Raw genomic sequence first — 26306 nt, forward strand, 5'->3', positions numbered from 1 at the left:
ACTAATGGAAAAAAGTTTGTTTGGGTGCAAATTAGTGGTATTATTTGTAATTAATGTGCAGTAAAAATATGTGTATAAAAATTAGGACCGGGCACGGTGGCTCACGCCTGTAATCCCAGCACTTTGGGAGGCTGAGGCGGGTGGATCAGGAGGTCACGAGTTCAAGACCAGCCTGGCCAAGATGGTGAAACCCCGTCTCTACTAAAAATATTTAAAAAAAAATTAGCCAGGCACGGTGGTAGGCGCCTGTAATCCCAGCTACTGGGGAGGCTGAGGCAGGAGAATCTCTTGAACCTGGTAGGGTGGGCAGAGGTTGCAGTGAGCTGAGATCACGCCACTGCACTCCAGCCTGGGTGACAGAGTGAGACTCCTTCTCAAAAAACAAAAAAAAAAACAACAAAAAAAAACCCTTTCTCGTGCAGCTTTAGGCAGGAAAATTGTTCAGATCTGCCAAAGGTCAGAATGCATTGGCAGGCTTTCCAGCCAAGGATGGAAGAGTGCTGCTTTCCTATGACAACTTCTGACCTACCAGAAGCTACATGAATTTCTGAGACCCTTTCAAGTAAAGTATTTCCTGTTTCCCTCCCCACCATGTCCCCCTAAAATAAACATTGGAACAAAATTGACAGCCTGGGAAGACACACAGGCCCACCTTCCCGACATGTGTCCTCTGCACAGACCTCAGTCTCCAGGAGCCCCATGGAACACAGATGCCCCTGGGGGCTACCCCTTCTGGCCCAGTGCTTCTCAAATGATTTTGCCCCCCAGCAGGGTAACCAGCTCTTAGTCTTTCAGCACTAAAACCAGGACAGTCCCAGTCATTTCTCTGGTGTGACTGGGGGTGTCTTATGGCTGGCTGGTCCTGCTGGTAGACAAGAGCCTGCTTCTCCTTTTGGCGCACTTCTGTTGCCCAGATGTGGCTTTTACAAAAGCAAGATCCATTTTCTACTGGAATCATTGAAGACTTCATCATGAATCTAGAATAACTTCAGCCTCAATACATAGAGAATGGGACTGTCAGGGAATGCATCCACACCCAGAATTTATACATCCAGCCAGGTATACAGTCAGGTTGTCCTCCTAGGAGGCCACAGGCCTGCTCCCCCACAGTTCCCATGGCCAAAAGATGGCTGGAAATGGCCCTCTGGGGCTACTGGCAGAGCCACAGCACACTCGAGAATCACTTTGACAGCAGTGATTCTGTGGCCTTGGAAAGTAGATACAATGTGTCTGAAAACATCATGAGTCACTCCTGTCCAGTCAGGGACCCAGGGTTGGGTAGGGTGACGACAGGTTACTTGGAGCCCAAAATGATAAGGGAGGCTTTCTTATAGGGCTCAGAAATTCACTCGAGATAGTTCTCAAAGAAAAGGGCCTAGAGTGTTTTACATCCTGTTTGCATATTCATTTTTTCTTTATCTTGATATTTACTGTCTGGAATATCCATTTTTTACTCTTCCCCATCCTTGTGCCTTTTCTCATATTGATTATTCCTCCTGAAATGCCTCCCATCCCTCCCCATTCTTTGTATCTCTGCTGATAGAAATCTTAGCCAGCCCCTAAGGCCCAGCTGAGATGGCAGGTCCCTTACACCTTCGTGTGCCCTGCAAGATTGGAGCACAGCGACTCATTGTGGCTGAGTGAATGGATGCTGGTGCTGGAATGCTACCTGCATAGTATGAATACATTTTCCCATTTTAAAAATAAGCAGTATTCACTCTAGAAAAATTTAGAATGTTCTAGAAAGGAAAAAGGAAAAAGAAAACTTTTTAAAAAGCACTATCCAGGGGCAGGGCGTGGTGACTCACACCTGTAATTCCAACACTTTGGGACACTGAGGCAGCAGGATTGTTTGAGCCCAGGAGTTTGAAACCACCCTGGGCAACATAGTGAGACCCCATCTCTATGACAAAAAAATGAAAAATTAGTCAGGTGCGGTGGTGTGCACCTGTAGTCCCAGTTACTCAGAAGTCTGAGGTGGGAGACTCACTTGAGCCTGGGAGGTTGCGGTTGCAGTGAGCTGTGATCACATCACTCCACTGCAGCCTGGATGACAGAGCAAGACACTATCTCAAAAAAACAAAAACAAAAAAGCACTGTCCAGATACCTACTATTAACATTTTGCGTATTCACTTCCAGAAATTTTTTATGTATTGTAATTGGGATCATAAAATACCAAAGGTTTTGTAACCTTTTTTCATGTAATATACAATAACAATACGTACTCTTCTTCATTTTCTATGGTTCCTATTTCCCTGCTAATGAAAAGGTAGGGTGTTTCCGGTTTGGGCTGTCACACATGGCACTGCAGTAGAGTCCTGGCACATGCTCCACTTGCTCACCTGAGATCCAGTCCTGGCTGGGGAATGGCCTGGTCACGTGGGACACTTGAGATACACAGTGTTCAGTGGCCCTCCAGGGCAGCATTGTGGTGCACCCTCCACCCCAAGTTTCTTCAAAATGAAAGCTATTTTACTGCTTTATTTATAATGCTAAATGAACACTGGAAATTAGAGCAGTACAAAAAATAAGAAAAAATCACCTCAAATCCCAATACCCAGAGCCCAACTGTTAGCGTGGTGAACATTTTCCCAATACTTTATATACACATCTATACTTGCTGTTTTATAATCTCCTTTTAAACTTTTATTGAGCAATATGTCATGGATGTCTTTCCTGGTCAGTAAATACAGGTTTGTATTATCGTTTTTTAAATGAGTCTCTAGCAGTTCATCATATGAAGACTCCTACTTTAGTCTGTCCTCTGTTGATGAATTTCCAGGTTTTCTCTTGGTGGTGGGGGTGAGGAGAGTTGGAATAAACAAGAGTGAAGGGAACACATCTGTACATACATTTTGTACTCATTTGGTTTTTTCTCATGATAAATTTCTATAAGAGGAACTGTTGAAATCAGAAAAGAGAGGTGGGTGGATGGTGGATCCGTTTGGTTTGATTCTGTGCAATACAGACGGGACCCCAGGAGCCTTTGCTGAGCTGTGGTTGAAGGGCATCAAACAGTCTCCTTTTCTAATGACACTCCCTTTTATAGATTGGCCCGGATCCTCGTTCGCCTGCCGGCACTCAGGCTGATGAGCTCCAACATAACAGAAGAACTTTTTTTTACTGGTCTCATTGGCAATGTTTCGATAGACAGCATAATCCCCTACATCCTCAAGATGGAGACAGCAGAGTATAATGGCCAGATCACCGGAGCCAGTCTATAGCGCAAACCACACACCTGCCAAGGAGCAACAGAATCCTTCCAGGACCGTTCACATACAAAGAAAAGTAGTGGTATTTTGGTATGTGCAAATATTTCCATATGTTAGCCATTTCCTGTCTGGTTTCTCCTTATCTGTTAATCCCAGACAATAGCAATTAAAAGACTAGTAGGATCCTTTCCTGACATAAGAAATGTTTTAATGCCTTTTGATGAAGCAGCAGATTTTGGAACAATCTTTTAACTCAATTTGTATTTAGAAATTCTCAAAGGGCAAAAAACAAAAAAAAAGGTTTTATAATGTCAGAGACTAGTATTAAAGAAAACTGAAAGAACCTGAGAGAATAGTATGTGTGTATATATATATATAAAAAAGTCCTTGGAATTATAGATACTAATTACCAGGGTAATAATATTAGCACTTTCTAAGCACTTATCAATGTGTAACGTTAGCAACATCTTGCCTGTGGGCAGGGCAAATGGAAAACTGTGTATGTCTTTTGCCGAAATGCTAATGATTTCTGTGAAAACTCACTAGGGTACAGGAGACAATCATTTATGTTTAAGAAAAGAAGGCATCATTCCTAATTGTGTGCACATGTTGTGGAGTTGAGCTGAATTCTGTGAATGGAAACGTGGCTCATTTGCATCATGCAGTAAGTGGGAGTGTGGTAGCACAGTCGGTGGTGACCCAGTTCAGAAGCTTCTAGCCATAGAGCAGACACTTGTCAGGTTCCCTGACTACTTGGTCCTGGTCTCTGATGGGCATCTGCAGACTCCTCTAGAACCTGGGGTTCTCCTTTGATGACTGGTTATCTGAATTGGATTGCAACTAGTCAGACATTAACTGCCAAATGAGATGTACAGTTCCTCCAGCAAGTGAAAACATCCCCAAGTCACATCCGCCGCTCGTGGCAGATGGAGCCTTGTGACCAAAAAGTGCAAGGTGGGCATTTTGAGCTCTTGACAGTACTTCCAATACAATTGGGGGTGCTTGTGTGTTTGTCCAGATGGAGGAGTGTGGCCTTGGAGTGTGAGCGTTACCTTCCCAGGGCTTTCCACTCCAAATGCCCCCTTGAAAAGGGCTCGTGTTTCTGCAGCTCCATCATAACTGTGAGGCTGGATTGGGGCTGGGCAGGAGCCTGCTGCCGCCTGGCGAGAGTGGTTAGGGCCTGGTAAAGCTGGATGGAAGGTTTCAGGACAATTTCTTCCTGTTGACCTTAAATACCAGAGATTTTAAAAATGTGTATAGACTCAGCATCTCTGTTGGCAAGTCTGTTAATGTTACCAGCACACTGTGCACTTTGGTTCCCCCAGGTGTGTGCCAGCCGACCACCCCGGAGCATTTTAAATGCAGGCTGCTTGCTCCTTAAAAACAACCCTCAATTTCCAGGGTGATAGTCTTTCTCCTCATAAATTGTAGCAACCAGAGTTTACAGCAAGAACAGTATGCGCTTAAAAGGAAGTTATGTCTAACTTCAAACACCCGTAAATTCCCACGGATGTGAATATATAGCAAGCTTTTCCTGTTTGAGAACAGTGGCATGTGGAAGACCCGGTCAATTGCTTTGTCTTTTGCTTTTTAAATAGTCCAGATTAAGAAAATACACCCTGTTGGGTTAAATTTGCCTCTCTTGATTTGTTAATCAGATGATATCCAAAAAGATCCCTGGACACTCCCCTGACTCACAGGTGCTCTGATCTGGCTCAGGCTGGCGCCACATGTGCTCCACAGGGGTGCAGTCTGGCCAGCTACAGACGCCCCTGTGGTGCCACATTGGACAGAATGGAAGCTGCTGCAGGCTCAAGGCAGAACAGGATGCTTGATCCTGAAGGGTTAGCAGCACTTTACGCAAGTCAGTGTTAGTAGGGTAAGTGGGAACAGTGTTTCCAACTTCTAAATTCTTGTTTGGATTTAATTATATCATTTTATAATTCTTGCCTTGGCAGCAAATTTTGGAGAGTAGTGGGAGTGGCCATTATAAAATGATGGAAAGGATTTAATTTTGCCAGCTTAAAGTAATTTTTACTTTTCTAACCCTGATGTGTTTTCAGTTTCAAAATTAAGACAAAAAACCAGCTGAGACAATGGAATTAGGGCAGGTTTGTTTCATTTCTGCTTGTGAAGGCTTTTAGTAGCAGGCATCCTGCAGCTCAGTGGTGCCTCTAACACAGATTGTTGCCTGCCTTCCGTCGTTTTGATCCTTGAGAGTGACCATGAGGGCCATGTTGCAGTTCCCTGGGAATACAAGCATAACAGCTTTCAGATCCCAGTTCTTGGTGTTGGTGAAAAGGTCTCCACCAGCCCCTCCTCTCATTCCCAGGTCATTCAGTGGCAGCCAGTAGGCTGCTTAGACTCAGGCTGGATAAGGAAGTGTTGGGCTGTGGTGAAACAACCTTGCAGAAAACGTGATTTTGCTTGGAAAGGTGCTGATTCTAACCTGGTCCTGCTCTTTAAGTCCCCTTGCTGGTGATGGCTGATTCCAGGGACTGTTTTGGGCTTTGAACACCTCTTGGTTGGTTTCTGAGATCCTCTTGGCCTTACTTTGAAGTGGCCTTTTCTTTAAGGATCATGTCCACGTAACCTGTATTCTTGCTGCTTTAACTCATTTCAAGCCTCTGACTGCAGGTCCATTTCATCTCCTGTCAGGTTGGTTAAGTAAAGTCAGCCCAAAGTCAAGAATTACTTAAAGAGATGCAAACCAAATATTTGGGCTCCAACTTTCACAGGGCTTATAGCCCTTATTAGCAGTTTGTGAAACTTTGGGTTTCATGAAGTGAGACCTGTCCTCTGGCTACTGAACTCCATGGAGCCACGTTCATGCTCCCTCTTCTACTGGCCTGGCTGCTCCTCCCTCAATGAGGAGAGGCAGCTGGCTCAGAGAGGTGGGACAGACACATGCTGTCATCAGTTAAGTGAGCTCTTTTCCAGAAGTATCTCAGATAATGTTGGGTTAAGACAGATAGATGTTGAAAATGGTGGAGATCATTACACATTAGCATAAAACAGGACAGGAAGAGATTTTTTGAAAGACCAAATTAGTTGAGCAAGTAATACTTTTCAAGTTACTCCTGGAAGGTGTTTTTAAGGAAGTGTGTTACCTACCATACTCTCCTAATTTGACATTTCTGTGTCCTGAGGAGTTACATTTATTGTCTAACCCTTGCCATAAGGCTGTGGTTTGAGGTTCTTTTGCTGTTCTGGGCTTTATATTTAATTTCAGGTGTAGTCACTTCTAAGATGTGTAATTGCCCTCAAGAGGGACTGATTTTTAGCTTGTCATTGTCAGTATTGAATGTGGACTCTTCTGAGGCAGTTAGGACACCAGCCATGGTGTTAACAGTGGATGCGTTAGGCTCCTTAATCTCAAGGCAATATCCACGCTACACACATACTTATTAGCTGTCTTACTTGTTTGGGGGATAGTTACGGCAAGGAGCAAAAAATTCTAAGGACTCTAGCTGTTTCTAGTGCTTTTACTTTCATAGTCCTTTGAGGACATTTCCTGCAGAGCACTCTTGCTCACAGCCCGCCCTCTGCAGGGCTTCCAGCCCCTGGCCGCAATCAGCAGTTCATGCCACATGTGTACATCCATGTTCTGGGACCTGATCTCATTGGAGTCCAGAAGCTTGTTGCCCACTTTCCAGTGTAAATGACTTTATGTGCAATGGGGTCATAGGTAACATTTTAACTCTTTTCTTAGTCCAGGTCATAGGAAGTCTCATCATCTGACAGCCACTTTTCTCCCAGGGAAGGCGGTGCCCACTGGGCCCTGGGAATGCCTGAGCCAGCAGAGCAGATGCCCCACGTGCTTCCTTTATCCAGCTTCCATTCTCTCAGTTATGAGGCTCTTTGAAAATGTCTTAACTTTGATGTAAATTTTTAAAGCCAACCCCTCATCAAGACAGGGTTGGTTTGGGTCTTTTGTACACAGGGTCTGGACCTTCTCATTGTGTGCCTCCCACCAGCGTGCACTTCGTATGTCCAGCCCTGGGTCCCTTCAGCAGCATTGTGCGTGTACAGGTTTCTAGGCTGTAAGACTGAATGAATGTACATGTGTTTATATCCTCTCCATATGTACAGTGTATATAGTGTGTGTATGTGTACATAGATGTATATTATGTATACAGACATGTATCCAAACTTTCCTTTAAAGAGAGTTTTTCATAAAGTTGCTAATGTAAACTGATATGGGTGTTCCAAGGTCCCTCGGCAGGGAAGATTTGCTGGTGATTTTCTTCACTCCATTTTCCTTTGGGTGAGCCTGCCTGGGAAGGGCCATGAAGTCAGAATCTCCACTCTGCAAAAGGAAGAATTCCAGGCAGAAGAGGTTCTGACAGGGTGACATTTCCGTATATTCTCTAGGTTCGGACAAGAGCCAGGAAGCTGGAAGACAGTTTATCTTAATATCCAAAACTAAGTGGGAATTTTTAACCTTTTCATGCACCTATTCATGGCCCTACCTGGAAGGAACTTGGCAGTTGGGTTGAGCCATCAGCCTTCCCAGCTATTCAGCTCTGTTGAGTAGCCCAGAGACAGGCGTCACGGTCAGAGATTCAGAACGGTCTGTGTCAGTGAGGCCTGACTCCCAAAGATGGTAGCAATTTCCCAGGCTTGCGCTGTGCTCAGTCAGCAAGATGTGGGGCACTGTCCTATGACTGAATAAATAGTAATTCCCATCTTTCTATCGCCAGTTAAAAATAAACAACCTACCAAGTATTATTCTTTAAAACTAAGCATGGATGTTGATGGCTAACTTCTGCGGCATATAAGCTACAGATCTCAAGTTACTTCTCTAACTGTAAGCATGTAAATGACTTTAACTCCTTTCTATAAGTTATGATTTTAAATTTTCAGATAAGAATTGCATTTTAATATGGATATGTGTGCCCTTAAAAGCTACAGATACCAAATTTTCCTCGTCCAGGTCTACTCGGACGAATTTTCCCCCTTAATCTGGCCTTAAACTGAGACTCGGCCCTTGAGAGCCAGGGCCTGGCCCAGCAGTAGTTGCTCATAGACCTGGGAAGCAGGGGCCTGCTGGAAGGAATCACTAGATTGCTGCAAAAACTCACATAATCCACAGTTTCCTCTTTTTCTTTTTAAAATAAGTTATCAAAATGTTTTAAAAACACTTTATGAGACCATAGTACTCAGTGCCTTTTGTGAGACAGTGGGTCATTTAGCCTTCAGCTTCCCTGTTTTTGATGTAGAGAAAGCTTCTATTTCACTGGCCTCATCCCACAAGATTGTGCGACCTTTCCCCGTCATAGCCTGTCGTGACAATCACGCTATTGAAAGTGGCTTTCTAGTTAAAATGCAATTGGAAACTTGACAGTCTCTAAATGAATTAAAAGTTTCCTTTGGGGCTATTTAGCTTAACAGCAGTCTACAAATAATTAAAGTGTGAGCTTAAGAAAAGTATCTTTGCGGGGAGAAAAATGTCAGATATTTTTAATGCCCAGCTATAAATAATTTTGGTGTCTTGATATTTATACATGCAAAATAGAAAAAAAATGTTCAACATTTATTGATTGATAGACTGTTAAAATTTAATGTTTGGAATAACATTTGGAAGTAGTAGACTTTGCATTAAAAAATGGCTTTTCTTTAGGAAAGTATAATCAATTATTTTAATGACCATAGCATTCATGGACTCAAATGCTGCTGCCACACACAACTCAAGTGCTGGAATATTTTTCTACAGTCTCTCTGTTCTACGGATTATCTTGTAAACCAGTGTTCAACTAGTTTTATAACTGAAAAGCTGCACATTTTTCACAGTACAAGCCGTAGTTTTTACCTGTAGTTTGGACTTCTCTGTTAGAATGTAACTGCATTACCAGCCCTTTTAAAGGCATCTATCTATCAAAGGAAAATTTGGGTGTTAGATTTTCTTGGGACCGTTTCTGTAACCTTTGCCCTTCACAATATAGAAAATATTGGTTTTGCCATTACATTTTAATGCCAGGTTTAAAACCTGTTGAAAGCTGCAGCTTTATACAGCTTTCTTCTCCCTGTGAAATCACTTTGTTTATGTGATGGCATTTAAAAAATAGCATGTTCTTTTTAAACTGAATTTTATATCTAATCAATGTCTTCAGTCTTGAAGAAGAATTTGCATTGTTGTGTTTGTATATAGAGTATTGCAGTGCATGAATTAGCTTTATGCATTTTATTAAATGCTGTTTCAATGTGGCATTATTGTTGTGGCTTAATACTACTACCTAAATGAGGTTTATACTATTAAAAGTGAATTAAAGACTAACATGCATCCTGCTCTTCATTTTTCTTCATGATAGTAGTAATGCCTGGCCCCCAAACAATGCAGCGCTCTCTTGTGTTATGGACATGAAGCATCCTGGTGGTCCTGTCTCTACAGCTCTCTGGCTCCTACCTTAGCCTTAGCGGCCAAGAGGGATTGGGCCCTCTGTGGTCCACTGGACTTATTAATACCTTTAGTGGGAAACCCTGGCAGGACAGTCTTTACATCCACCCAGCAAGGCAGCTCCTTGGTGTGGAGGTAGGGAAGCCACACACATGTTTCTGGAGCAGAGCACAGTTAGGCTGCTGGAACATTCAGATGCCATTACAGACAGGCCTTAAATTGGCAAGCTTATTCTCTAAGGATACGTGCTATCAAGGGCAAAAACAAGCTCCAAAAGTTTCAGAAGTTAGAACATATTCATTATGTCATCTGACCTCTCATGTTCCAGGTGAAAATTCTGAGGTCCAAAGTCTGATGCATGACAGAACTCACTGGCAGGCAGATAGGGCCTCACTCCGTCACCCAGGCTGGAATGCAGTGGTACAGTCATGGCTCACTCCAGCCTCAACCTCCTGGGCTCAAGTGATCCTCCTGCCTCAGCCTCCTGAGTAACTGGGACCACAGCAGATGATACAGGTTTAGATGGTGCTGCCAGGTAGTGCCTCAAAGAGAAGAAAAGTGGTCACTTCAGAATAAGGCTGTGAACACTGCTTGTGCAAGTAAAATTAAGAACATGTTATCAATTATAAAATCCTCACATTTTCTCTAATTAATTTTCTCCCATTTCTGTATATTTTAAACCCATCTTTCATCACTACTAAACAAAATAGGGAAAGACAAAGGTTTAAAGAGAAACTATCCAGGATCAAGTAGCCTACAGGGAACAAAAAAAGAAAATAATGTTTATTTCCACAAATTATCTGCTGCCTGTGAAGCTGGCCACACAGGCAGTAACTGCACCACAGGACTGCTGCTGTCTCCACACGTCCTTTCAGGGTCTGGGCTGTCCACCTCACTGCCCATTGCTCCTGTGTCAAGCCTGAACTCAAACCCTAGTTATCTGTCCCATTAGGGACCAGACATTTATTCTGTCTAGAGAATGGTCACCACTCCTTTTGGTTCAGGACATTCCTGCTGGTTAGCAGCCTCTTTGGGCCCTAGAGGGAAGGAATACTCTCATAAGGCTTTGTGTGTCACTAGCTATGGAGACCTACACTGCAGATGAAAGCCAAAAGGAACTAGGTGCTTTCTGAAGAGCCCTTGCAGCCAAGTAGAACGCCCAGGCAGGTGGTATCAAGGTCAAGACTTCAGTCAGTTGGGTGGGGAACTGAAACCAGCAGACATGGGAGGGCTCTCTGTGGAGGAGAGCTTTTTCCACCCAGCCAAAATGCTGATAGCAGAGAGACAAGATGCTAGATTTCAATTAAACACTCCCTTTGTAAGTCTGTCACTCAAGGAACACCTGTCCATTATACATCAGTCTCTGCCCACCTTCCCCTCCCACCCCCGACAAGCCATCACCCCAAACCCAGATCTGGTACAGAATCAAACTTGAGCATCAAATGTAAAAGATCCAAATCTGCTCAATTTAATGTGATAATCTCCAACAGTTAATGAAACACATCGTAGTATGACATCATTTCACCAGCCAGCTACTTCATGTGGCAGAAAAGGTAACCTTTTCCCCATTTTACAGACAAAACCAGTTACAGACCTGGAAAGCTTTTAGGACTTGACCAAGGCCCCAGCAGGTAGAGGAATGAAAACTTCAGTCCTGCTCTGTCAAGCACCACTGTCCTTTTTTAATTCTTTTAACCACTGCCTTCCTGTCTCAGATAAAGTCAGGTCTCCTTGGCTGAGTTTCTAGGGGTCCGTGGTCCAACTGGTCCTTCACTTTATAATTAAACTTATTTAAAAAATTTTTTTTCTTGAGACAGTCTTGCTCTGTGGCCCAGGCTGGAGTGCAGTAGCGCACGATCATGATTCACTGCAGCCTTGATCTCGCAGGCTCGAGATCCTCCCACCTCAGCTTCCCAAATAGCTGGGACTACAGACGCGAAACACCACACCCATCTAATTTTTGTACTTTTTGTAGAGACAAGGTCTTGCCATGTTGCCCAGGCTGGTCTCGAACTCCTGGGCTCAACTATCCGCCCACATCAGCCTCCCAAAGTGCTGGGATTACAGGCATGAGCCACCACACCCAGCCTAGCTAAACCTATTCTTAAGGTGACCCTAGAAGGCTCTGCTGTCTTCTGGAGGCTGAAACCTCCACTTTAGCATAACTAAAGTGACAGTAACATCAGTGTCCTATGAGGAAAGAACAAGGAAGGTGCTCAGTAATGCAGCACTCCCTCCTCCAGAGCTTGGTAAGCAGGGCCTGAGGGAGCCAGCAGAGCCAGCTATAGACACCATCCCCCCAGCAGGGCCCCAATGTCTCCACTAGGTGGTGTCTCCTCATTTCCTCCATGGCCTACAAACCTCCCTGCTAATGCACACAGTGGCTGGGCCATGGGTTGGCAGTGGCTGACTGGTCAGCAGGTACGTGCCTGAGTGAGGCTGGCCTGTCAGCCACTGGGGCTCCTCCATCTCTGGCCCATGGCTAGGCCCCCCAGCAGGCAAGGGTAATCAACTGTACTTAAAAAAGTGAGCACTGCACGAAGGGTTGCCTTTGGATTTCTGAAAAATACCCCCAAGGAACTGAACGGAGGGGTGTACACACTGCCAACCACAGACAGTGCTAGCCAGACTCAACCACAGCAGCCCTTATGTTCTCCAGAGTAGAGCCCAGAGGAAGATTCAAAGCCAGCGGAGACCAGTAAAGGGTCGCAGGACCAAAACAGGTGTCAACAGGCTGTGGCCTTAACCTCTCAGGCCCAAAGCCTTTCTGCTACACAGGCCTTCCTCTTCACTAGGACCAGATACACGCCAAGCTGCTATTAGGAAGCGTTTTATTGACCAGCAGAGCAGGGATATTCATTTAGCAGCTCAGCTTCAGACCCTCCTCTCCCACATCCTTTTACACAGGTGTGTAAAGTCCTTTTAATGCAAAAGGATTTCCAGAGTCTCCAGGGACAGAACCAGGGGCTTCCCTGGGCCAAAGTAATCCCATTCCAATCTCCCCACTGGTCAGACACCATCACCCCAGCCCACAGTGACCGTGGGCCTTAGTCCTGGGCATCGGCTTTCAGAGCGGCTTTGTACTTCCCCCTCATCTCCTTGGGTAATGGCACCAGGCTGGGGCAGGGCACCTGCCCTTCCACTTCACAGATGCACTCCCGCAGGCAGTACTTTCGAGGGCCGAAGTTGGCTGGGTGAGAAAGCTGCTTTTTCTCCTCCTCCTCTTCCCTGAGGGTTTCCCTGCCAAAGAGCACAGACGGCAACCAAGCATTGGCAACTTTGAGTGGCAGGCACAGGGCAGTTTCTCAGCCGAGACAACCCCACCATCCACCAGGGACACCTGGATCTCCTGCCTTCTAACCTGATCCTCACTGTCAAAGCCTATCGCTGTCTCCCTGCTGGCCCCTGAGGAGAGCGCTGAAAGAAGGCCTGCTGTTGTCCCCTCACACCACAGCAGCAAGCCTACACAGTGCGGTCAGCCTATCTGCTGCCACAGGTGGAGCCCACAGCTCTCACATGCAATCACAAGATAAAGGAGCCTGAAAAGGCCTCTGTGTGGTTTCTCAAAGACAGACTTTTTCAGCTTCCGTCCCTTTCTGTCTCCTCTCATTCATGGAAAGAAAGACCTGTCACCAGGAGCCCTAGGGCTAGATGTCTGCTAGCTCCAAGCTGAGATTCCCAGGAGAGATGGGTTAGCAGCTGCACAGGGCCACAAGTCAGCTGCATTTCAGCTTCCCGTCCCCCGCAAGAGGGAGAGAGGTACTTCTCACACTGTACAGCCAAGGGAGATAAAGCTTACAGAGGTTTAATGATTTGGTAAAGAGCAACATCAGAAAGAACTGATTCTACAGCCCCAGCTCTTATTAGTGTCTGGCGTTCACTGTCAGAGAATCTTACCTCTCAACACCCTTCCCACACACCCCTTTCTTCCTCAAATTCTCTGGGCTGAGAAGTTTGTTCCTTCCAGGTCAAACCAAACAACTCACTCATTCTTCCCCAAGATTTTTCTGATGTGCTCCATGATCTCCTTATTGCTCTTGGTCTCCACATCCACCAGGACCTGCTCCCCAGAATCTGGAAACGGAAAGCACGGGGCAGAAGAGAAACAGAACTCACAGCGCACTCAGCCTCAAAAAGTTGTAATTTGGGACTTGCTTTTAGTGGCAGAAACATTTTAATAATAAAATAGATATACTTGTTTACATAATCTGTAATACTACCCTTCCTTTTTCCATTTTTCTTTAGACCTGAGCAAGCATAAACTTTAGATATGTAAAAAAACATGCCATTTTAATAGAAAGACATTCCATGTTCATGGATAGAAAGACCCAATATTCTTAAGACGGCAATTCTCCCCAGACTGATCTACAGATTAAATCAATCCCTATCAAAATCCCAAGCGGTGTTTCTGTAGAAACTTAGAAATTAAGCCTAAAATTCATATGGAAATGCAAAGGACCCAAAAGAGCCAAAACAATTCTAAAAAACGAGAAAATGGGAGAACGTTTACTTTCCAATTTCAAATTTACAATAAATTGAAATTACTATAATCAAGACAGTGTGGTACTAGTATAAGAATATGGCCGGGCGCGGTGGCTCAAACCTGTAATTCCAGCACTTTGGGAGGCTGAGGCAGGTGGATCATGAGGTCAGGAGTTCAAGACCAGCCTGGCCAACATAGTGAAACCCCATCTCTACTAAAAATACAAAAAATTAGCTGGGAGGCAGAACTGCTTGAACCCAGGAGGCAGAGGTTGCAGTGAGTGGAGATAGCACCACTGCACTCCAGTCTGGGCAACAGTGTGAGACTTTGTCTCGAAAAAAAAAAAGAATAGACACACACTGTAATGGAACAAAACTGAGTCCAGAAATAAACCCTTATTTGTAAGGTCAATTGCTTTTCAGCAAAGATACCAAGATAATTCAATGAAGAAAGATAATCGTTTCAACAAATGGCGCTGGGATAACTGGCTATCTATATGCTAAATAGGTGAATTTAGACTTTTACCCACAACATTAAAATTTTAAAAATTAAAACTCCAGGAGGCTGAGGCAGGAGAACAGCTTGAACCCTGGAGGCAGAGGTTGCAGTGAGCTGAGATCGTGCTACTGCACTCTAGCCTGGGCAACAGAGCGAGACTCAACCTCAAAAAAAAAATTAAAACTCAAAATGGATTTGAGACCTAAATGTAAGCACTCAAACTTAAAACTTCTAGAGGAGAACACAGGAGAAAATTGTCATGACCTTACCTAGGCAAGTATATTTTGGAGATGACATTAAAAAACATAATCCATAAAAGAAAAAAAACTCTATAAATTGAAAAATCAAAATTAAAAACTTTTACAGTTCAGGAGTCACCATAACCCACAGTCTGGGAGAAAATATTTATAATGCATATATCTGATAAAGGACTTATATCCAGAATATATAAAAAACTCACAACTCAATAAGACAATCCAACTAATAAAATGGGCAAAATATCTGAATATATTAGTTCATTCTCTCACATTGCTATAAAGAAATACCTGAGACTGAGTAATTTATAGAGAAAAGAGGCTTAATTGGCTCATAGTTCTGCAGGATGTACAGGAAGCACAGCAGCTTCTGCTTCTGGGGAGGCCTCAGGAAGCTTCCAATCATGGCAGAAGGCAAAGGGGGAGCAAGGAGTCTCACATGGTGGAAGCAGGAGCAAGAAAGAGAAGGGGGAGGTGCCACACACTTTTAAACAGCCAGATCGCAAGAGAACTCACTACCACAGACCACAGTACCAAAGCGGATGGTGCTAAACCATTCATGAGAAACCGCCCCCACGGTGACTAGGACTCGTACTCCCATGGAGCAGGCCCATCACACCCTACCTCAATATTGGGAATTATAACTGAACATGAGATTTGGGTGGGGACACAGACCCAAACCACATCAATGAATAAACATTTAACTAAATTTTTGTAAAGAGCTAATAATAAGCATACGAAATGATGAGATCTCAATGAGTCACTAGGAAAATGCAACTTAAACCACAACAAGATATGCAAATGGCTAAAATTTTAAAAGCACAGACAATACCAAGTGCTAGTGAGGATGCGGAGTAACAGGAACTCTCATAGGTCGCTAGTAGAAATGCAAAATATTACTGCCACATTAGCCAGTGAGTTAAGACAAAACACAAAAGATTGGAAAAGAAGTATAACTGTCTTTATTTGCAGATGACATTATTACAGTGCGTGTAGAAAATCCTAAGGAATCTAGAAAATAAAAACTACTGGAAATAAGTGAATTTAGGATAGAAAGCACCTGCACTCAACCTCGGCAACAGTGAGACTCCGTCTTTTAAAAAAAAATTTTTTAAATGATAAACTGAATTAATCAAAATTGAAATTTCTGCTCTTCAAAAGACACCACTAAGAAAATGAAAAGCAGGCCACAGAGAAAACAGTCACAAGACATTATCTCCAACAAAGGAAATGCACCCAGAACACATAAAGAACTCGACAAGAAAGCAGCCCGTTTTTTTTTTTTTTTAATGGAAAAGCTTCAGGCCGGACGCAGTGGCTCATGCCTGTAATCCCAGCACTTTGGGAGGCCGAGGCGGGCGGATCACGAGGTCAGGAGATCGAGACCATCCTGGCTAACACCGTGAAACCCCGTCTCTACTAAAAATACAAAAAATTAGCCAGGCGTGGTGTGGCGGGTGCCTGTAGTCCCAGCTACTCGGGAGGCTGAGGCAGGAGAATGGCGTGAACCCAGGAGGTGGAGCTTGCAGTGAGCCGAGATCACGCCACTGCACTCCAGCCTGGGCGACAGAGCGAGACTCTGTCTCAAAAAAAAAAAAGATTCAAACAGACTGTTTACAAAATAAATATCTGAGTGGCCAATAAGCACAGGAAAAGATACTTGGGGGAAATGCATATTACAACTCCAATGAGATATACACCCAATGGGATGGCCAAAATTTAAAAGACAATTTGGTGGGCAGAATAATGGTCCCCAGAGATGTCCACATCCTAACCCCCAGAACCTTACACAGCAAAAGGGACTCTGCAGATGTGATTCGAGTTAAGGGCCTTGAGTTGGGGAGAGGATCCTGGATCATCCAGTGGGCCCAGGTTAACCCCATGGGTCCTTACAACTGCAGCACCTGACCAGGCTGTGGTCAGAGGGAGGTGGAAGGATGGAGGGACAGCCGCATATGCAAGGTTGCTGGCTTTGAAGATGGTAGAATAAGGCCACAAGCCAAAAAATGTGGACAGGCCCTAGAGTCTAGGAAATGCAAGGACATGGGTTCACCTCAAGCCTCCAGAAAGGAGGGCTCTGCTGACACTGGTTCCAGCCCATGCTGGACTTCTAACCCACAGATCTGCAAGACAATACATTTGTGTGAAGCCACCAAGTTTGTGGTCAATTGTTACAGCAGCCCTGGGACATTAATACAACAATATCAGCATGAGCGAGGACGCGCAGCTGCTGGAACTCCACCCTGTGACTGGAGTGCAACACGGCACAATCGCTTTGGAAAGGCGGTGCCTGAGAACCTTAAATACATAACTGCTCTGTGACCTGGCAGTTGCACTCAGGTATACCCCCAGGAGGCCTGAATGCCTCTGTCCACAGATAGAGACCTGCGCAGCCTACACACACGTTTACTGTAGCTTTCTTCTTGGCAGCCAGGAGGCCCACCACTCAAACCTCCCTTCAAGCAAGGACCTCCCAGGAGTTGCCGCTGAGCTGACAGCCCTGTGGAGTACTGCTGGGATCTGCGCAGCACTTGGGCAGCCCGTGCTCTCCCTGGCCGGGGCCTAGGGTCTGGCCTTCACAACCCAACACAAGGCTAGAATGTCCCGCTGCGCTGGCCAACGCTCCCAGAGCTGCGTCGTCCTCACCTGTAGTTCTGGCAACCTTCCCTGCCCGGCCTCCTCACTCTCCTGGTTTCTTTCAAGGTCTTCTCTCTCATAAATCTCATACTTCTAACTCTCTCGGCATCTTACAAAAATCTAAAGGGTCATCAACAGGTAAGTGGACACACTGTGGTACATTCACAGAATGGAATACTACCCAGCCAGAAGCAGCAAAAACCACGAAACATGTAACCTGGGTGAATCTCAAAACATGAGTAAAAGACACCAGGCTCAAGGGAACACATACTGTGAGATTCTAGTTACATGACATTCTAAAACAAAATGCATCTATAGTGAAAGAAGGGATAACGGGTTGCCTCTGGTGGAAGGGAAATTAACCAGAAAGTGGCACTAAGGAACTTCCTGCAGTGCTGGGGCATTCTGCATCTTGGGGCATGTACGTAAGTGTACAGGTATATAACAACGGCCAGTACCCATCCAGTTGCACGTGCTACTTGGGTGTGCCATTACCAGCAAACTGAAGTAAATTGCACCTCAATAGTTGGTTTTAAAAACACAAGCAAAGCTCACATGCACAAACTGCCACAGGGCCACCCTTCCAACCTTGCCTGTTGTCCTGTTTCTCACAGTACTAATCTTCTCTTTTTTTTATTAGACAGTGTCTCACTCTGTTGCCCAGGCTGGCGTGCAGTGGTGCGATCTTGGCTCACTGCAACCTCTGCCTCCCAGGCTCAAGCAATCCTGCCTCAGCCCCCCAAGTAGCTGGGACCACAGGCATATGCCACCACACTGGCTAAATGTTTTTTGTAGAGATGGGGTTTTATCATGTTGCCCATGTTGGTCTCGAACTCCTGAGCTCAAGAGATCCACCATCTTCAGCCTCCCAAAGTACTGGGATTACAGGTGTGAGCCACTGTGCCACCAGGCCCACAGCACTAATCTTTTTTCTTTTTTTTTGAGACGGAGTCTTGCTCTGCCGCCCAGGCTGGAGTGCAGTGGCGCGATCTCGGCTCACTGCAAGCTCCGCCTCCCAGGTTCACACCATTCTCCTGCCTCAGCCTCCCGAGTAGCTGGGACTACAGGCGCCCACCACCACGCCCGGCTAATTTTTTATATTTTTAGTAGAGACAGGGTTTCACCATGTTAGCCAGGATGGACTCGATCTCCTGACCTCGTGATCCACCCTCCTCGGCCTCCCAAAGTTCTGGGATTACAGGCGCAAGCCACTGTGCTTGGCCCTAATCTTTTGTTAAAATTTCTTGTTCATTCTGTCTCCCTCTGCTGGATATAATCTCCACGAGGGCAGCAGAAATCTTTGTGTGGCTTCCTGACATCCCAGCCTCCGGACCAGCACCTGGTCCTAGGGAACATGTGTTACATATTGGTGGAATGAATGAAAAAACATGGTCATTTTGTTTCCTGAAGCATTTCCCAACCTACACTTCATTTGATTCTCATAGCCATGTAAGGCAGACATTTTGCCTTCAGGTGACAAATTTTAAAATGGGTCTGTTACTTGCTCAGGATCAAAGTGTCTGAGAGCTGGGCCAGAACAGCTGCCCTCCTCGTTTTCCAGCGTGGAGCCAAACTTAATGGAATAAACATCACTTAGCGCCTGGTCCAAACATGAACAGCATCGTGTAAGTGCACGCAGTCCTCAGAGGACACACACAGCACCGAGACAGAGGGGTTCTGGGGGCATGTGGGAGGTCACTCTAGGATGCAGGGAAGGCTTCCTAGAAGTGGTGCCCATACTGAGCCCTGAAGAATTTTTTTTTTTTTTTTTTCAGTTAAATAAGCAAACGCAGGTAGAAATGGGATTCCAGGCCAGGAACAATCTTGAGCAAAGGCATCACAGCCTGGTGTGACAAGGGACTTTGGAAAAATTACCCCCATGGTGTGAGGCAGAGGGTAAGAAGAGGTGAGGCTGGAGAGGGAAAGAGTCCAGACCTCAGTGGCTGCTGAGTGCCTCGGTATGGGGAAGCCAAAGGTGCCAGGAGTCACAGACACACCATGACAGCGCACACTGCAGCTCATCCTGACGCTCCCATAGGAAGGACGCAGTCTCTCCAGGCATGTCTGGGACAGCCCCTGGACCATGGCGAGGGCCCCACTCACCTAAGTAGAATCGCAGGAAGGGTGACGGCGTCATGTTCTTAAACATCATGATCTGCACCCAAGGGTTTTTGTATTGAATCTGAGGTATGTTGAAAAACACAAACTTCCTGCAAAAGGGAAGAAATGAAGCCTATGAAACAGAGTTTTTAGCCTGAAATTTTATGCGTGGGTATTTTTCTAGGGAGAAAGCCCAGCATTTTCATCAGATTCTCAGAGGACCCAAAAAGGCTGAGAAAAAACTCGCAGGGATCCTCTTAGAAGATTCCCTGAATGGCGTGGGGACCCCTGGGCAGGCATCTGAGGGGAAAGAAATCTGTATCCCAACCTGTACTGCAAGCTAACCTAACACCAATGCCAAAGCACCACTGAAAATGAAACCATGAAAGGTACTACGTCGTGATTTGTGTCGTGAAGACAAGGTGTAAACATGAGTGGCAGTTCATGGAGCTGTATACTTACAGGTGTGCACCGTATCTAGGTTATACCACAATTTTAAAATAATGAGACCAATGTATTCACACATGGGGGAACAGTTTTACAATTGAGGAGTGGAGGAACACCTTTAAACTTAGAAGATTTAAACAGATTTATACTCCAGAGGAAAAAAAAAGGCCTTGCAAAAAAAAAAAAAATGCATAATCATAGTATTCTATTTGGCTCAATTGTGTACAGCATTTACAAAGTAATATTAATCTGAACGCTGAATATCGTCCTGTACAAAATTTGGAATAATGATACTGGGAGGAGTGGGTGGAAGAGTATGGAGGTTTGGGGGGTGAGAAGTAACAATGGTGGTGAGAGACATTCCATAGTGACAAGTCCACAGATAACACCTAAAGCTAAAAATCAACAAGTAGCTCTCAGCTGGGTGCAGTGGCTCACACCTGTAATCCCAGCACTTTGGGAAGCCCAGGCAGGAAGACTGCTTGAGCTCAGGAGTTTGAGACCAGCCTGGGCAATATAGGGAGACCCTGTCTCTATAAAAAAATTAAAAATTAGCTGGGCATAGTGGTACATGCTGGTGGTCCCAGCTACTTGGGAGGCTGAGGCAAGAGGATCGCTTAAGCCCGGGAGTTTGAGGTTGCAGTGAGCCAGAGCTGTGATTGCACCACATTCCAGTCTAGGCGACAGAGCAAGGTCCTCTCTCAAAAAAAAAAAAAAAAAAAGAAAAGTGGCTCTCTGAGGATGTTATTTAACTATATGGGTATAAGACTCAAATTAAATAGTTAAGCCGCCGGGCGCGGTGGCTCATGCCTGTAATCCCAGCACTTTGGGAGGCCGAGGCGGGTGGATCACGAGGTCAGGAGATCGAGACCATCCTGGCTAACACGGTGAAATGCCGTCTCTACTAAAAATACAAAAAATTAGCCGGCGTGGTGGCGGGCACTTGTAGTCCCAGCTACTCAGGAGGCTGAGGCAGGAGAATGGTGTGAATCCAGGAGGCAGAGCTTGCAGTGAGCCGAGATCGCGCCACTGCACTCTAGCCTGGGTGACAGAGCAAGACTCCATCTCAAAAAATAAATAAATAAATAGTTAAGCCTTGAAAACTGCTGCCTCTAGGGGAGGAATAGAGGCCTTGGAGACCCTCACAGCACACAGACCTGGGAGCTCAAAGGCTGAATTTACCTTCCAGGGCGTAGCAGGCCTCTGATCAGTTCCCACCCCACTGCAGAGTATCCCAGTGTCACAGAACTTTTTACAAATAAACTAGGACATAGCCAGGTGAGACGTTCCCATACTTTAAACTACTAGGACAGAAATGCAACAGAGATCTTAAAATGGTTCTTGCTGAAACACAAGATGAAAGTTAAGTCCCTCTCTCTCTCCCTCTGCCTCTCCGTCTCCCTCTCCCCACGGTCTCCCTCTCCCTCTTTCCACGGTCTCCCTCTGATGCCGAGCCGAAGCTGGACTGTACTGCTGCCATCTCGGCTCACTGCAACCTCCCTGCCTGATTCTCCTGCCTCAGCCTGCCCAGCGCCTGCGATTGCAGGCGCGCGCTGCCACGCCTGACTGGTTTTCGTATTTTTTTGGTGGAGACGGGGTTTCGCTGTGTTGGCCGGGCTGGTCTCCAGCTCCTAACCGCGAGTGATCCGCCAGCCTCGGCCTCCAGAGGTGCCGGGATTGCAGACGGTGTCTGGTTCACTCAGTGCTCAATGGTGCCCAGGCTGGAGTGCAGTGGCATGATCTCGGCTCGCTATAGCCTCCACCTCCCAGCCGCCTGCCTTGGCCTCCCAAAGTGTCCAGAGTGCAGCCTCTGCCCGGCCACCACCCCGTCTGGGAAGTGAGGAGCGTCTCTGCCTGGCCGCCCATCATCTGGGATGTGAGGAGCCCCTCTGCCTGGCTGCCCAGCCTGGAAAGTGAGGAGCGTCTCTGCCCGGCCGCCCATCGTCTGAGATGTGGGGAGCGCCTTTGCCCCGCCGCCCCATCTGGGATGTGAGGAGCGCCTCTGCCCGGCCGCGACCCCGTCTGGGAGGTGAGGAGCATCTCTGCCCAGCCACCCCGTCTGAGAAGGGAGGAGACCCTCCGCCCGGCAGCCGCCCTGTCTGAGAAGTGAGGAGCCCCTCCGCCCGGCAGCCGCCCCGTCTGAGAAGTGAGGAGCCCCTCCGCCCGGCAGCCGCCCCGTCTGGGAAGTGAGGAGCGTCTCCGCCCGGCAGCCGCCCCGTCCGGGAGGGAGTTGGGGGTCAGCCCCCGCCAGGCCAGCCGCCCCGTCTGGGAGGGAGGTAGGGGGCTCAGCCGCCCGGCCAGCCGCCCCATCCGGGAGGGAGTGCGGCGGGTCAGCCCCCCGCCCGGCCAGCCGCCCCGTACTGGGAGGTGAGGGGCACCTCTGCCTGCCGCCCCTAATGCGAAGTGAGGAGCCCCTCTGGCCCGGGCCAGCCGCCCGGTCCGGGAGGGGAGGTCAGGGGGTCAGCCCCCCGCCCGGCCAGCCGCCCCGTCCAGGAGGTGAGGGGGCGCCTCTGCCCGGGCCGCCCCTACTGGGAAGTGAGGAGCCCCTCTGCCCGGCCAGGCCGCCCCGTCCGGGAGGGAGGTGGGGGGTCAGCCCCCCGCCCGGCCAGCCGCCCCATCCGGGAGGGAGGTGGGGGGGGTCAGCCCCCTGCCCGGCCAGCCGCCCCGTCCAGGAGGTGAGGGGCGCCTCTGCCCGGCCGCCCCTACTGGGAAGTGAGGAGCCCCTCTGCCCGGCCACCACCCCATCTGGGAGGTGTGCCCAACAGCTCATTGAGAACGGGCCATGATGACAATGGCAGTTTTGTGGAATAGAAAGGGGGGAAAGGTGGGGAAAAGATTGAGAAATCGGATGGTTGCCGTGTCTGTGTGGAAAGAGGTAGACATGGGAGACTTTTCATTTTGTTCTGTACTAAGAAAAATTCTTCTGCCTTGGGATCCTGTTGATCTGTGACCTTACCCCCAACCCTGTGCTCTCTGAAACATGTGCTGTGTCCACTCAGGGTTAAATGGATTAAGGGCGGTACAAGATGTGCTTTGTTAAACAGATGCTTGAAAGCAGCATGCTCGTTAAGAGTCATCACCACTCCCTAATCTCAAGTACCCAGGGACACAAACACTCTGCCTAGGAAAACCAGAGACCTTTGTTCACTTGTTTATCTGCTGACCTTCCCTCCACTATTGTCCTATGACCCTGCCAAATCCCCCTCTGCGAGAAACACCCAAGAATGATCAATTGAAAAAAAAAAAAAAAGAAAGTTAATAATGGCAGGAACCTTGAGTTGAGCAACTGCTGTATATGCCAGACACTTTGCTAGGCACCTGACTCTCCAACCCCAGAAGGTGGGGTTTTACAATTTAAGGAAACTAAGGTCAGAAGTTAAGTAAACTGCCCCAGGTCTAACTGGGCTGATTAGTCTGGCCTTCGATCACACTGTTCTGTCACCATCAAATTCACCCTGAGGCTTGGGGACCACTTGTTCAGGGTAGAACACCTGGCAGAGGTGAGTAAGGACTTGGCCCTCAAATACTAAATAAGGCACCTTCCCATTGCCCCCAGCAGGTACCCAAAGACTGGCTGGACCGGTCGCAGGCACTTGGGATGGAGGTAGGTCCCAGTGGGGCAGCTGAAGGGCTGAGGGCACATGAACAAACAAGGGCTGGGGATTGGGGGAGGACTGCGGCTAGCCAGAGCAAGGCAGACAGACTCCAACCCACGGGTACAAGATCACAGAGGGCACAGGTGGCACAGGCCAGCCCCTACCACCAGGAACAAAGAAACAGTGAATGGCTGTTTGTATCCCATTTACCTAGAGGACATTAAAATATCTGAGAATGTAAGTAAGAGGCTCACAGGCTTATTTTGATTGGCTGGCCATTTAAAAGCCAGAGATTTACATAAAAACCTAGATTTCAGCTTCTTGACAAATGAGAAATTCTCCACGGAGCCCACAATGCCAAACAGTGAAGGGCCCTCTGGATAGGGCATGTGCTCTCCAGCTCGCTGCGGGCCGCACCGAGACCCCCACCCCTTCCCATTATCTGCCTGGCAGTTGCCCGGGGACAAAGGTGTGCACAGTTGTGCAGTAGGTTATGAAGGAGTATCTGGGTGCCCATACACCCTAAGACCAAGACCAAGTCTTCCAGGAAGCCATCAAGCCAGCTGATTCCAGGCAAGCAGGTCCAAGTTATCAGATTCACCTGCGCAGAGCAAATGGCTAGGAAGCGGCTTCCGGATCTCTTGAAGGGCCATGCAGTGAAGGTCCGTCACCAAGGGGACCATGCCCCACAAGAAGTTGCTCCCCGCCCCCACGCCTCATTTTGATCCAACATACACCCAAGTCCCAAAGTTTCTGCGGGCTAAGGCTGCCTCCTCCATCACTGCTGAACTCCCAGCACACAGCACACAGCCTAGCACTCAGAGTGTACTCAATAAATGTAGACTTCATACCTGCAGAGCCTAAGGCACTGCTTAGGGCTGCCTCAGGGTCAATCCAAACCTTTCACTTGCCAACTGCCATTCAATGAGTCCCTACTCTGCTCCAAGCTGAAAGACATCCTAGGCGTTCCCTACAGTTCCTTCTAGTCGGGGTAGGGTCTGCCGCTGCACAGCTGACATAATTAATCACTTCCTTCCAAACCTTGAGTCCCGAAGGAAGCGGCCACACTGCCCGGCTCACCGCTCACCGGCTGGCATGGTGTCTCGTGGAGCTGCAAGTTACTTAACCTCTCTGTGCGCTTCCCCAGCCTTAGAGTGGGGATAAGCTGGGGTTTCTCTAGGCATCAGAAAAAAGAAAGCGCGAGAAGCATTCAGAACTGTGCGAGATATGATCAGTGTTCGCCGCTGTTATTTCTCTCATTTTATCCTCAGATTCGTCCTGGGGTGTCACCCCCGTCACCCCGAAAGGATCTGCGGCTGCCCCTCCCCAGCGCTTGCCTTGCTGGCCAGAGGGGCCAAGGGAACTGGTGGCCTCCCTCGGGTCAGCCTCGCCCACCGCGCCGGAGGAAGGAGATCCAGGAGTGGGGTTCTTGTCCTCCGCCCCCCAAACCTCGTCACGACTGCAGCCGGCCCGGCGGGGGCCCCGCCGTCCGCCTCAGTCTGGACCTCTGTAAAATGGGGGTAACAGCGCCGACCTGGGGGGCCCGCCCCGGGGATGAACGGCCGCCCAGAGCGACTCGGGACCTCACGTTACCAGCAGGCTGGCACGACTAGCAGGTTACGGCTCGCCAGGCGGCCGGGGCTGCGACTGACCTGGCGCCCTCGCCCAGCTCCCCATGCGTGTTGTAATTCACTGTCATGACCTTCACGGAGTCCTTGAACACCACGTTCCCCTGGCTCAGATATTGCAGGGTGCGGCGGATGGGGAAGCGGCCCTTCATGGGCATGGCGGCAACGGTGGCGGGGCCGACCCCACGGGCCGCGAGCCGAGCAGCGACGAGAAAGGACTAGCTAGCACCCGCGCGGATCTCACGCGGCTTCTCCCCAGAGCCAGGTTCCACTTCCCGCGCAGACGCACAGGAGACGCTTCCCGGCGGGCAGCGCACGCCGCGGAGCACTCTGGGACTTGTAGGCGGCCTTCGACCCGGCGCGGCGAGAACCGGTGTGTGCAGCTTCGCTTTAGGACGCCTTCCCCTTGGAAGGTTTAGGTTGTCGCGTCCTGTAAATTAGTCATTTCCCCATCCACCCACGGGAAAATATTTTTACATAGGCTAAAAGTCAGACATTGCAATAAGAAATAATCAGGAAAGCTCAGTTTGGATACCAAGTCAGCTGATAACGTCCTATTGAACGTATTGTCCATTTTTCTCCCCAAACATCTCCAGTTTTATCATGAAGAGTTCAAACTGCACTTTCTGACGTTGACTTAAACTTCTTAGCAAAAGAAAAAAAGATGGTTTGGGATCAATTCCTTCCTAAATTCAGCCACTTAACTCAGGACCTCAATTTTTTCGTAAACAAACTATGGGTGAGATGTATTTCTAGGGCCAGGCGCGGTGGCTCCCGCCTGTAAACCCAGCCTTTGGGGAAGCCGAGGCGGAAGGATCGCTTGAGGTCAGGAATTCGAGACCAGCCTGCCCAACATGGCGAAACCCCGTCTCTACTGAAAATACAAAAATTAGCCTGGTGTGGTGGCAGCACCTGTGGTCCCAGCTACTCAGAAGACTGAGGTGGGAGGATCGCTCGAACCCGGGAAGTTGCAGTGAGCCGAGATCGCGCCACTGCACTCCAGCCTGGGCGACAGAGCAAGACTCCCTCTCAAAAAAAAAAAAGATACATTTC

General features: G+C 47.7%; 2 protein-coding genes across 28 annotated transcripts in view, besides 2 other annotated features; one reads left to right on the forward strand and one right to left on the reverse strand.

Moving 5' to 3' along the window:
- The window catches only part of NR2C2 (nuclear receptor subfamily 2 group C member 2), a 101691-nt gene extending 92201 nt beyond the window's left edge, over positions 1-9490 (forward strand). For 20 of the 25 annotated variants that reach the window (XM_047448826.1, XM_047448825.1, XM_047448830.1 and 17 more), the window contains one exon: positions 3051-9490. In XM_047448826.1, the coding sequence (XP_047304782.1) occupies positions 3051-3225 (175 nt within the window). In that variant the 3' untranslated portion in view covers positions 3226-9490. Of the gene's footprint in view, positions 1-422 lie in introns of all 25 variants that reach the window. The other 5 variants (XM_047448829.1, XM_047448836.1, XM_047448837.1 and 2 more) reach the window with 1 other exon arrangement.
- On the reverse strand, positions 2468-25532 carry MRPS25 (mitochondrial ribosomal protein S25). Of its 3 annotated transcripts, none has more exons than NR_135247.2 (5): positions 25278-25532; positions 19586-19692; positions 13597-13684; positions 9925-12850; positions 2468-3239 (listed from the first exon to the last, which is right to left on the reverse strand). NR_135247.2 is itself a non-coding variant. In NM_022497.5 (4 exons), exons 1-4 carry the CDS (start codon positions 25409-25411, stop codon positions 12658-12660), a joined length of 522 nt encoding a protein of 173 aa, NP_071942.1. In that variant the 5' UTR covers positions 25412-25532; the 3' UTR covers positions 8729-12657. The 3 variants fall into 3 exon arrangements, 1 of the variants encoding a protein (NP_071942.1); NR_135246.2 differs by having other exon boundaries at positions 13508-13684; NM_022497.5 differs by lacking the exon at positions 2468-3239 and having other exon boundaries at positions 8729-12850.
- Positions 10650-10729: an enhancer, noted in NCBI's record as "active region_19524". NCBI's record gives its function as "activates an Ori minimal core promoter by ATAC-STARR-seq in GM12878 lymphoblastoid cells {active_cell/tissue: GM12878}" and the evidence as "EXISTENCE:reporter gene assay evidence [ECO:0000049][PMID:35858748]".
- Positions 25512-25691: an enhancer, noted in NCBI's record as "active region_19525". NCBI's record gives its function as "activates an Ori minimal core promoter by ATAC-STARR-seq in GM12878 lymphoblastoid cells {active_cell/tissue: GM12878}" and the evidence as "EXISTENCE:reporter gene assay evidence [ECO:0000049][PMID:35858748]".

This window comes from Homo sapiens, chromosome 3, assembly GCF_000001405.40.
Source record: "Homo sapiens chromosome 3, GRCh38.p14 Primary Assembly".
In the NCBI taxonomy this organism is placed as follows: Eukaryota; Metazoa; Chordata; class Mammalia; order Primates; family Hominidae; genus Homo; species Homo sapiens.